Genomic DNA, 13,334 nt, shown 5'->3' with positions numbered 1-13,334 from the left:
TATTGGTTTTCTGTGGCTATTAATAAAAAAATTTATAATCTAGATGACTTAAAACAACAGAATTTTCTTCTCTCAAAGTCCAAAGAACAGAGGTCCAAAATTAGTAGTACTGGGCTGAAACTAAGGTTTGACAGGGCTATACTCTCTTTAGTAGGCAGGGAATAATCTTTTCTTTGCCTTTCTAGCTTTTGACAAATGCTAGTGTTCCTTGGTTTGTGACCATATCACTCCTATCTCTGCCAGTGTCTTCATATGGCCTTCTTCTCTGTATGTCAAATCCCCCCCTACTTCCTTCTTATAAAAATATGTGGCAGGCTACGGTGCCTCACGCCTCTAATCCCAGAACTTTGGGAGGCCTAGGAGGGTGGATCACGAGTTCAAGAGATTGAGACCATCCTGGCTAACATGGTGAAACCCCGTCTCTACTAAAAAATATAATAAATTAGCCGGGCATGGTGGAACACACCTGTAGTCCCAGCTACTTGGGAGGCTGAGGCAGGAGAATGGCGTGAACCCAGGAGGCAGAGCTTGCAGTGAACCAAGATTGTACCACTGCACTCCAGCCTGGGTGACAGGACGAGACTCCATCTCAAAAAAAAAAAAAAAAAAGAGTAAGAGATCGAATTAGAGGAAGTGACGGAATTAGAGCCCACCTGGGGACTCTGGAATCATTGTCCCATCTCAAAATCCCAAATTTAATCACAAAGACCCTTTTTCTAAATAAGGTAAAATTTACAGGCTCCAGAGACTAGGAGGTGGATATCTTTGGGGGCTAATATTCGGCCTACAAAGGATGAAATGGGATTTATAATATCTCAATCAATCTTGAATAACAAAACAAAAACACAGGACTCAAACCACTTGGCTTGAAGACTTATTATGAAACTACAGTAGTCAAGATGGTATAACGGTGGCTTAAGAATCAACAGATAAATCAGTGGAAGAGAACACAGCTCAGCAACAGACCCATCTATGAAGGACTATTGATTTTTCACAGAGGAGCCAAAGCAATCTAACAGATAAAGGAAAGCCTTTTCAACAAACGATGCTGCAAAAACTGGATAGTCACATGGAAAAAAGTGACTCACTATTCACACCATCCACTATAACCAATTTGAGATAGATCCCAGACCTAAACATAAAAGCTAAAACTGTAAAGCTTCTTGAAGAAAATATAGGTGAATATCTTTACAACTTGAAGAAATCAAAGGTTTCTTAGAACACAGAAAGCAATGACCATAAAAGAAAAAAAATAACAAATAAGAGTTTACTAAAATGTAAAATCTTTTACTGACAGACATAATTTAGAAAATGAATAAGTACCCCCACAGACTGGGAGAAGATAGTCACAAAATATATATCTGACAAATATTCAATATCCAGGACACATAAAGAACTCCTACAATTCAATAACCAAAACACAAACCACATATTTAAAAATGGGCAAAATATTTGAATAAATACTTGACAAAGGACGCTATGCAAGTGGCCAAGAAGCACATGAAAAAAGTCCTCATCATCGTTAGTCATCAGAGAAATGCAGATTGAAACCACAATGAGACAGCACTACACACCCACCAAGAAAGCTAAAATTAAAGAGACTGAAAACATCAAATGTTAGTAAAGATGCAGAAAGAAACAACTTTTATATATCATTGGTGAGAGTTTGAAATGGCAACACAATCACTTTGGGAAAAGGTCTGGCAATTTCTTATAAAATTAAACATCCACCCACCCAATGACTCAATCATTTCACTCCTAGGTATTTACTCAAGAAAAATGAAAACATATATTCACAAAAACAGTTGAAGAAGAATGTTGATAAGAGGTTAATTTATAGTAACGGACAATGGGAAAGCCCAGTTGTCGATGAATAGAAGAATGGATAAACTGTGGTATATTGATACAGTGGAATGTGACAACTCTGCACGTAGACCAGATACCCACTCCACATCACGTTCTCCCCATACTCCACATAAAATACCTACACATTCAAGCTAGTTATTTTTCAAGATTGCATCACTGATACATAGAAGAAGCATAAAATGAAGGCATTTATCTTATTTAGTGCTTATAAGCTTGCTCAGTAAAAAGAAACCATTGATACAAACACCGACATGGCTGCATTTCAAAAACACGAAAGTGTAAAAAGCCTGCAGATCAGAATACATACCGTGTGATCCATTTGTATGAAGTTCTAGAATTGGTGAAGTCAGTTTCTGGAGGGAAAATCAGAACAGCAGTTGGCTGGAGGGGATGTTGAGAGTGAGGACAGCCTGGGAAAGAGAAGGTGGAAATTTTCTGTGTGATGGTAATGTTCTTGTGAAGGGGCTGGGCTATGGAGGTTTATGCATTAGTGAAAACTTATCAAACAGGACACTTAAATTTGTGCATTTCACTTTATATATATTTTTTCTAAATAAAACAAATATGAAACTGTAGTTCATACTGAAAGGAAAGGACATGCTGAAAAGAAAACACAGCAATACATACAACTCACTTATAAATGCATCAAAAATAAGATGGATTGATAGATGAATATGTAGATATTAAGGCAAATATAGCAAAATATAAATTTTAGAATCTAGGCGCTGAATATATGGCTTATAATCTAAAATTCTGTACATTCAAAATTTTGTTCACAAAAAAATTTGGAAAAAATGGATTGGAAGGAAATGTTTTTGGGACTCTGAAACCCTTCTTCCCTTTCAGAATGCACCAACCATCCCACTTCTCTTTTTTAATTTTTAAATTGACAAATAATCATTGCACCTATTCATGGGGTGCACAATGATGTTTAAATATATACAATGTATAGTGATCAGATCAGGGAAATTGACATATCCATCATCTCATACATTTATTTATTTGTGTTGGAAACATTCACAATTCTCCATCTTCTAGCTATTGAAACTACATATCATATATTATTTTTAACGATAGTCATCCTATAGTGCTATATAACAGGGGTCTCCAGCCCCTGGGCCACAGACCGGTAGTGCCTTTTAGGAACCAGGCTGCACAGCAGGTGAGCAGGGGACAAGCGAGCATTATCATCTGAGTTCTCCCTCCTGTCAGATCACAGGGGGGCATTAGATTCTCACAGGAACACAAACCCTATTGTGAACTGTGCATGCAAGGGATCTAGGCTGTACACGTCTTCTGAGAATCTAACTATTGCTTGATGATCTGAGATAGAACAGTTTTATCACAAAACCATACCCCTTTCCCCACCGTGGAAAAATTGTCTTTCCCTAACCAGCCCCTGGTGCCAAAAAGGTTGAGGACTGCTACTCTACATCACTAGAACATTTTCCTCCTATCTAGCTGTAATTTTGTAGCCTTTAACAAATCTCTGTCTCTCCCTTCACCCTACCCTTCCCAGCCTCTAGCATTCTCTGTCCTACTTTTTACTTCTGAGATCAACTTTTTTTTTTCTTTTTAGCTTGCTTCCACATATAACTGAGAACATATGGTGGTTAACTTTCTGTTCCTGGATTATTTCACTTAACATAATGTCTTCCAGTTCCATACATGTTGCCTTGAATGACAAGATTTTATTCTTTTTCATGGCTGAATAGTATTCTATTATTTATATATACCACATTTTCCTTATGCATTCATTTGCTGTTGGACACTAAAGCTGCATCTGTATCTTAGCTACTGTGAAGAGTGCCATAGTAAACATGGGGATGGAGAAACTACTCCCTTCACAATAAACAGCTTGTCTGTGACATCTTCAAATAATTTTTATTTTATTTTCACTATGAAGTTATTCCTACTTTCTTTGCTGATGGGGACAGTTCAAATCTCTGAGATGACTTAGTATATTGCAGAGCATGAAATATGGAGTCAGCTAAACATACCAAGGCTTAAATTTTAAATTCACTCTATCTTACACTTATTAGCATGTAATTTCAGCCAAGTTATTTTGCTGATTTTGGTTTCACAAATTTAATTTGGTAATAATGATGATGATATAATACTACTAATAATACTTCTTTCATAAAACCAGTGTGGCAAATCAACACATTTTAAGATATGTGTTCTGTCTATAAACCTTTTTAAGACACTGGATCCTATCACATAGTCTTTGCTGTCCCAAACAGCTAAGTTTTATACCACATGTCTTGTTACTAAACTACTACCACTCTCCTCAGCACACTCCCACAGAGGCACAACTGATTTGGCAAACTGTAAACCAGTAACCAACACTGACTAGCCAGTGACATGTAGTTTGTGACCTAGTTCAAAAGAGGCCCTAGAATTATTACTATTTCTCCCAATAATGTAAATCAAGAGACCAGAGAGAGGTGGTAGTTGGTAAGGTTCTGAGCTGGAAGATCAAACCAAGGCTGGGATCATCCCCACTGGGCCATGGGTATGATGACTCAGTATATAACATTTATTGAGGGAGAAAGAAAAAGTCATGAGTAAGCAGAGAGATGCAGAGATGTGAGAGGCTATGCAGCTCCTAGGATATTAATAAAATAGCCCTGGTTTCTGATTGTTTAGCTTCCTGTTCTAGGGAAGCCTAACTGTTCCTTATTCTAATCTAGGATGTGCCTAAGATTCCTTGTTGAATATTTTCATGACACTCCCCTTACCTTAAACTAGGTTGCACGGATCTCTGTTAGTCAGAACTAGAGTATGCTGTGATAACACACACAAGAAAATCTCAATGTTTTATAGTCACAAAAACTTCTATTTATCTCTTATGCTACATGCCCAGCCCACATTAGTTGGGGCTCTGTTTGACAGTGTCTGAGGCCAACAAAAGGCCTTCTTGAAACCCATCAATCATCAGTTACATGGCAAACCACCGTGAGCTAGTTTATGGATCTACTATGTGGAAGTCACACTTGTCATTTCTGCTTTCATTTCATTGGTAAAGGGAGCCCCATGACCGTATCTGACTTCAACAGGAGAGAATATATACCCTCAGGGAGGAGCATTAAATATTGGTGAATGCTAAGCCAATCCATCACAAGAGTTTGTTTTTTAAAAGTTTTTCCATAAAAATAGCACTGAGTGAGAGATAATATATAGAATATAGCTGGTACCTTATAAATCATAAATCAAAGTGGCATTTGTCCCTGTGAAGATCTTTGCCCATTGAAAGCCTTTCTCAAAGTGTTAGAATGTTCTTATTCCTTCATTCTTTAGATACATAGAGTGCTCTTATATGCAAAGTAGGGTGCTAAATGCAGAATAAAATGAAGAATGAGATAGACAGAGATTCTACACACATAGTCCATAGAGAATAATGGATAATTAAAATCAACAAATAGATAACTACAATGCCTATTTTGATGTCTGTGATAAGACAAGTACTGGGTACCTGAAAACACAGGAGATGAATCTAATTTAGATCTGTGACACACACACATGCACACACACACACACACTCTACATATATATGTATATATATATACATATATATGTGTGTGTATATATATATATATATATATGTATATATATGTAGTACCTTGCTATGTTGCCCAGGGTGGTTTCTAACTCCTGGACTCAAGTGATCCTCCCACCTCGGTCTCTCAAACAAACTACTTCTTAGAGGGTGTAGCAACAGCTGAATCCATATGAATGAGAAGGAATTTGGGCAAAGGGCAAGAAGGAAGGAGAGTTTTATAGGTAGAGGGGGACAGCAAAGTTGCAGATCCAGTGATGAAGAAGGCATGAAACATTCAATGAACCATAAAAAGAGAAAAGAGGTGGGCAAGCAGTTGTGAGCTGTGCAACAGAAGTTGGACTTTATCCTAGGCAATGAGGAGCCATTAAAGGGTTTTAAATAGAAAAGGAACTTTATCAATTTGGAGCCTTAGAGAGATCACTAAGGACATAGCAAGTTTCTAGGGGCTTTGGTCTCCTGGTAAAGCCATGCTTCTATTGGCCAATCCTTACTTCCTATCCACACACTTGTCTTATTAAACAGAAAAGAATGGACTCATGTTTCAACTAAACTATGTATTTTCTCCATTTTTCATTATAACTATTTTGTACATGGTGTGCAATTGTACAGTGTGCTGAAGTAGGGGCAAAAGCAATAAAATGGAAACCAGACAACCAAGCACTAGCCTCAACTTTATTACTTCCTCAAAATATGATTTTGGGCAAATTACTTAACTACTGTGAAACATAGTGATAACAGGTTAGGGGCTTTGAAAAAAATAAATCTATTTAAGATGGGTAGCATTACTGGAAGGTTTTGAATATCATTAATTTAAGCAAGGAAAAGAAAACATCTGTGAAATAATTTCATTGTGAAGCAAACTGTATTAGTGTAGCATAATTTGCTTGTGTCATGTGGATAGATCTCATCAGTAACCTCTGGCAAATAAGATATTCAAGTAGCACTCTTCAGATATTGCTCAGATGAATTAATTGAATTTTTTCTTCATTTTTGTGGGTGACAGTTTACTCTATAGTAAAACAAGAACCTGTGGGAGATTTGATAGGCCTAACCCATGAGACATTTCTGAATACTGAACTTGGTCAATCGACATGAATTGTCCTTTCCTAGTTTGGATTGGACTTTCCAATTTGCATTTGAAATTCAAAATGTCAGGCCTAATACTCCTGCTGCATCTCTGAGGGCATGACATGGCCTTTATAACTAAATGTTAAAACATAACTCGATGCCTAATGCTTGCAATTCCATTTTCCAATCCTTGGTGCTGTCAAAGACACTATGTAATGTGCTGTCAAGCTGGGTTGGTCAAACTACACAGAATACAGTCTCTTTCCTGAATGCTATTCTTAGAACAAGGAGTATCTTGTAACCACTTTCTTGTCTCACAGAACACCAGCAATATCTAGGATTCATTTCATCTCTTTTCAAGTCACCAGAGAAACTCTCTGGAGGATCTAGAGAGGCAAACACCACAGAAATGGCTAAAATTCATTTTTTATTTTTCCTATTGGGCAATTTATTTGTTTTTCAGTTGTTTCAGCTGCACTATGGAAAACTGTCCTGCCAGTAGGTAAAATTAGGTATTTGTCAAAAATGGCCTTCCATCCTCTGCTATTATATGCTTGGGTGGGAACAAAAGTATAGCTACAGTAGTCCAGGCAAAAGGCACCTTAGAGTCAAGAGAAACAGAAATAGCTATCAAATGACTTTGCATAAGAGATATCCATGTGAAAGCTAGAATCAGCACTATTATTCAGTTCAAGGAAATATTTCACTATGGTGATTATCAAAAAGCTGCCTACGAAGGAGCTGAATAAAGACTGACAAACATTGTTTCCAACAGATTAATGAATGATAAATCCTGATGAAACAAAGCACCATAGAAATTCTGACTCCTCTTAAAGGAAATAACACAAAGTGGAAAATAAAAGGTAGGATAAAAATGCATATGATTCTAACCTGTCAGTGAAGCTTAAATAAATATGGAAATTTAGAAAAATGAAAGTAAAGTAATGATGGGTTTTTTCCTTCTGCTAATGGAAGAGTTGGTTACAAACCAACTCTCCATTTGACAAAAACTAGAATAGCTGGACAATTTTTAAAACTTGTGTTTGAAGGCTTTGTGACGTTCCTACAGCAACCAGGACTTGAAGTTTTGAGACACCAGTGAGAAGACTATTGAGATGAGTGTTTTTCCCCTCAAGGCATTTGTCAAGTATCCAGGACAAAAGAGAACCCAAGGGGAAATCAGTGGATAAGAGGTTAGGAAACTTAGCAGAACTTTTAGCAGTCTCATGGGGATGGAGTAACAAAAATATACTTCAGGACTCACAAGTTGGAGGGTGCTTGGTGAACATTTCAGACTACGAGTTTAGACCAAGAAGGACTATATTTTAGGAATAAGACAACCAAAACTAGATCTAGTGTCACAAAATTCTAAAATCCAAACTAGAAACAACTCAGACCTAAACTCTAATTGCCTGTCCCCAAACAAAAGTAAATCTTCTCTTAAGAATGGCAATCTGAGACAGATCCTAAAAATATTTATATACTTCTTTATAATGATGTCTGGCATTCAGTCAAAAATTATTAGGTATGCTAGGAGAAGGTATCAAATGACTGCAAACAAGGTCAGAAAATACCCAATACAAATTATTCAATTATCCAGATATTATAGTTAGCAAGTACAAAATATAAAATAACTATTTATAATATGTTCAAGATAATAACAGACAAGATGGAAAATTTCATCTGAAACTGGAATCTATAAGAAGTCAAATGAAATCTCTAGATCTGAAAAAAATAAAAAATTTACAACTTAATAGATGGATTTAAAATATATTGGACATAACTGCAGAAACAATGAGTAAATAGAACAAGAGAAGCACCAGAGAAAAAAGCAAGGATATAAGAGACATAGAATACTGTGAAAAGGATGATATATAGGTAATTGGAGAGAAAAGGAGGGAGAAAAATAGTATATTGACCAAGATATTTATGAAACTGATATTTTTAAAAAATCACACCAATAAAACACAAAGCTCTCTATATTCCCAAGCAGATCAATTACAAGGAAAGCAACATTTAGCTCTATCATAGTAGAAATTTTAGGGACCAAAGACAAAAGAAAAAAATCTCAGCTAGGCGTGGTGCCATGAGCCAGTCCCAGCTACTGAGGAGGCTGAGGTAGGAGAGGCTCATTTGAGGCTAGAAGCTGAGAGTCGAGTCCAGCCTGGGCAATATAGCAAGAGCTCATCTCTAAAAATAAAAAAAATAAAAATAAAAAACTCATAAGCAGCAAAAGGAAAAAATAAAACAATAAAATGGAAGACAGAAGGCAATGAAAAGTAATATTAAAAACAATGGGGGTGGCAGAATAACTGCCAACATAGAATTCTATACCCAGTAAAAATATCCCTCATGAATACAAAATAAAAAAGAGTTTTCAAACAACCAAAACCCAAACCAGGGGATGTTTTTTACCCGTAGATTTATACTAAAAGAACTATGAAAGTAAGTAATTTAGGCTGGAGGAAAATGCTCCCAGATGGAAACATGGAAAATCAGGAAAAATGAAGAGAAACTGGAAGAGAAAATATGAGAATCAATATATAGGAATGACTTTAGTAAAGTTTTAGCATACAAAATAAATGTACAAAAATCAGTAGTACTTCTATATACCAATAATGTTTTTGCTAAGTGTCAAATCAAGAACATAATCCCAACCAGGCAGAACGGCTCATGCCTGTATTCCCAGCACTTTAGGAGGCCAAAAGAGGAGGATCACTTGAGGCCAGGAGTTCAAGACCAGCTTGGGCAATATAGCCAGACTCCATCTCTAAATAATAATAATAATAATTAGCAAGGTGTGGTGGCATGCACCTGTATTCCCAGCTACTTAAAAGGCTGAGGCAGGAGGATCCATTGAGCCCAGGAGTTGAAGGCTGCAATGAGCTATGATCACACCACTGCACTCCAGCCTGGGTAGCAGAGTGAGACCCTTTCTCAAAACACACACACACACCATACACACACACACACACACACAACACAATCCCATTTATGATCACAAAAAATGGAAATATCTAGGAATACATCTAACCAAAGAGGTGAATGCTATCTACAAGGAAAACTATAAAACACTGCTAAATGAAATCAGCAATGACACAAATAAATGGAAAAATACTCCATACTCATGGATTAGAAGAATCAATATTATTAAAATGGCCATACTGACCAAAGCAATTTACACATTCAATGCTATCCCTATCAAAATATCAACATCAATTGTTGCAGAAGTGGAAAACACTATTCTAAAATTCATATGGAATGAAATGAGAGCCCAAATAGCCAAAGCAATCCTAAGCTAAGAGAACAAAGCCAGAAGAATCATATTACCCAACTTCAAATTATACTACAAGGCTACAGTAACCAAAACAGCATGGCACTATTACAAAGATGGACAAAGACCAATAGAACAGAATAGAGAAGAACCCAGAAATAAGACTGCATACCTGCAACTATCTGATCTTCCATAAATTCAACAAAAATAGGCACTGGGGAAAGGATTATTTCCATAAATGGTACTGGGATAGCTGGCTAGTCATATATAGAAGAAGGAAACTAGACCCCTACATTTTACCATATATAAAAATTAACTCAAGATAGATTAAAGATTTAAATGTAAGACCTCAAACTATAAAAATGCTAGAAGAAAACCTAAGAAATATCCTTCTCAGCATTGTCTTTGGCAAAGAATTTATGGCTAAGTCCCCAAAAGCAATTGCAACAAAAACAAAAATTGACAAGTGGTACCTAATCAAACTAAAGAGCTTCTGCACAGCAAAAGAAATAATCAAAAGAGTATAACAGGTAACCAATAGAATGGGACAAAATATTTACAAACTATTGGTCCAACAAAAGTCTAATATCCAGAATCTACAAAGAACTTAAATCAACGAGCAAAAAATAAATAATCCAATTAAAAATGCCCAAAGAATATGAACAGATAAAGATGTACAAGAGTGAAGAAATGCTCAACATCACTAATCATCAGATAAATGCAAATCAAAACCGTAATGAGATACCATCTCATACCAGTCAGAATGGCTATTATTTAAAAGTCAAAAAATAACAGACACTGGAGAGGCTGTGGGAAAAAAAAGGGAGTCCTTATACACTGTTGGTTGGAATGTAAATTAGTTCAGCCACTGTGGAAATCAGTTTGGAGATTTCTCAAAAAACTTAGAACTATCGTTCAACCCAGCAATCTCGTTCCTGGGTATATATTCAAAAGAAAATGGATTATTCCACCATAAAGACACATGCACTCACATGTTCCCCACAATACTGTTCGCAACAGCAAAGACATGGACTCAGCATACGTGCCCATCAGTGGTGGACTGGATAAAGAAAATGTGGTACCATGGAATACTACACAGCCATAAAAAAAGAACAAAATAATGTCCTTTGCAGCAACATGGATGCAGATGGAGGCCATTATTCTAAGCGAATTAATGCAGGAACAGAAAGCCAAATACTGCAAGTTCTCACTTATAAGTGGAAGGTAAACATTGAATACACATGGATGTAAAGATGAGAACAAGAGACACTGAGGACTGCTAGAGAGAGAAGAGAGGGAGCAGGGCATGGACTGAAAAACTACCTATTGGGTACTTTGCTTACTACCTGGGTACCAAGACCATCTATACCCCAAACTTCAGCACAACACAATATATCATGTAACAAATCTGCACATATACCTACTGAATCCTAAATGAATGAATGAATGAATGGTTTATAACACAGAAAAAGAAGAAGCCATGAGGAAGGAATGTTTGAGTCAGTGCTCTCAGGAACACTTCTGAGCACTGGACTCCAGCGGATTCACCTACTGAGTCAGGTCAGAGTGGTTCAGTCAATAAATAATGTTCTTATACACATACAAAATCAGAAATACTGATTCCATGAAATCAGTTTTTTGAATCAGAATATAAGTGAAATACAAAATAACACAAAAGGTAAGAAGAGTAAAGGGAATTGTGTTCTTAGGTCTTTGGACTGCCTGGAAAGTGGTGAACATTTCCATTTATACCAGACTTTAACAAGCCATGGATTCATCTTATTATCTCTAGAATAACAAATGAAAAATAAAAAATGTACAATTTGCAAGCTAATAGAGTGTGAAATTTGAATAATGATTAGAAAAATACTAATTGATTCAAAAAAAGGTGAGAAGGAGAAGAAAGGGAATACAATAGGTGAAATAAAAAGAAAACAAATATCAAGATGGTATGATTAAAACCAAATACATAAGTAATTACATTAAATTTAAATAGAATATATATTCCAATTAAAAACTAGATTACCAGACTGATTTTAGAATATATTCAGTTATATGCTACTTATAGGAGATACACCCTAAATTACTCATTTAAAAATACATACAGATTGTAGCACTCACAGAAAGATAACAGGAACAGATCAGTAGTATAAAAAGTAGACTTTAAAGCAAGAACATTACTATACATAATGAAATTAATGATAGAAGTGGTAATTCATCCAGAGGATGGATTCTTTATGGAGACAGAAAAGACTAAGCTTTGAGCTCCCATCAAGTCATTCTAAGACCTACTCCCAAAGGTCTAATTTATTAAACATTTATTTCTATAATTATCAGTTTATGATTTGCTTCCCTGGTCATATTATAAATTCACTGTGTAGAAATTCTATTCATTATTGTATACTGAAGATCTAGCACAGGACCAAGCACAGAGAAGGAAATCAATAAATAATTTTTAATTGAATAAAAGGGTGGATTAATGGATGGGCAGATGGTAGATCTGGGCTTCAGAAAAGCAGTCAATTTTGTTTATATGGTAAATAAGATTATATTGTTCCTGAAAACAATTACATAACTTGTAGTTTTTAACAATAATAATTACAAGTGCTTTACTAATGAAAATGCCATGTTAGAAACTTTCTCAAACCTGATCACACTTTCTCCCTTGAGTTTCATTGATCTCATTTTCTAGTAGTTCTTTGTAGTGAATGAGATGTTTATGAGAAGAAAGGTTGTTATAGATGCAGGTGTGGACATTCCTGCATCCTTTAGCCAAATGTCATCAATTTTCCACAATTTCCTCTAACAGTTACTTTAGCTAAACTCACTAGTTCTATGTTTTTAATTTTTTTCCGTTAAAGCTGCTCCCATCTTACTTATTGTATTGTAGTAGAACAAGCCACAGACAAAACCCCTCAGACACTGGGTTAAAGAAGGAAGAGGCTTTATTCAGCTGGGAGCATCAGCAGACTTGTGTCTCAAGAACTGAGCTCCCTGAAGAAAGAGTTCCTGGTCCTTTTAAAGGCTTACAACCCTAAGGGGCCCATGTGACAGGGTCATGATAGATTGAGCAAGCATGGTGTATGTGACTGTGTCCACATATGTTAGCGGTGGGGGTAAGCAATGCAAATATTTCTCCATACCATTGTCTGCGATGTATATATAGCACAAGTGGTTAGGGTGGGGGTTAATCTCTAACTTACAGGCCTGGCCAGTGGTGCCAGTTAGTCTGTTGTTTTTCAGCTTTTACTTCCTCCATCTCTTTGGAGACAGGGGACAGTAAGAGAAATGGCCTCGCTCCTCATTCCCCCCTTGGAGAACCTCACTCACTAGTGGGTGTTCTCACTGTCATCCTCACTATCTAGATCTTCCTGTGAGACAGATTGATAGTGATTCATGTAATACACTTGTGCTGAGGTCTCTTGAGGAAACAAGGTAGTAAAAAAACTCTTTAGTAACTGCAGAAATACGGGTAATATACAAGGGAGTAACATGCAGGTTCCTAACACTATTATTATTCCTAGTATAGGAGTTTTAAATCCTCCTAGAGCTGGAAACCATTTT

General features: G+C 36.3%; 1 long non-coding RNA gene across 1 annotated transcript in view; it reads right to left on the bottom strand.

The window, feature by feature from the left end:
* LOC124902062 (uncharacterized) overlaps positions 1 to 2,267 on the bottom strand; it is a 28,795-nt gene extending 26,528 nt beyond the window's left edge. Inside the window, exon 1 of the long non-coding RNA XR_007061176.1 lies at positions 2,174 to 2,267. This is a non-coding gene — a long non-coding RNA (uncharacterized LOC124902062). The remainder of the gene's footprint in view (positions 1 to 2,173) is intronic.
* Between the last annotated feature and the right edge of the window lie 11,067 nt (positions 2,268 to 13,334).

The sequence above is a fragment of the Homo sapiens genome, chromosome 8 (genome assembly GCF_000001405.40).
Source record: "Homo sapiens chromosome 8, GRCh38.p14 Primary Assembly".
Taxonomy (NCBI): Eukaryota; Metazoa; Chordata; class Mammalia; order Primates; family Hominidae; genus Homo; species Homo sapiens.
Note: the sequence above shows the minus strand (reverse complement) of the source record. Positions and strands in the feature narration are given on the sequence as shown.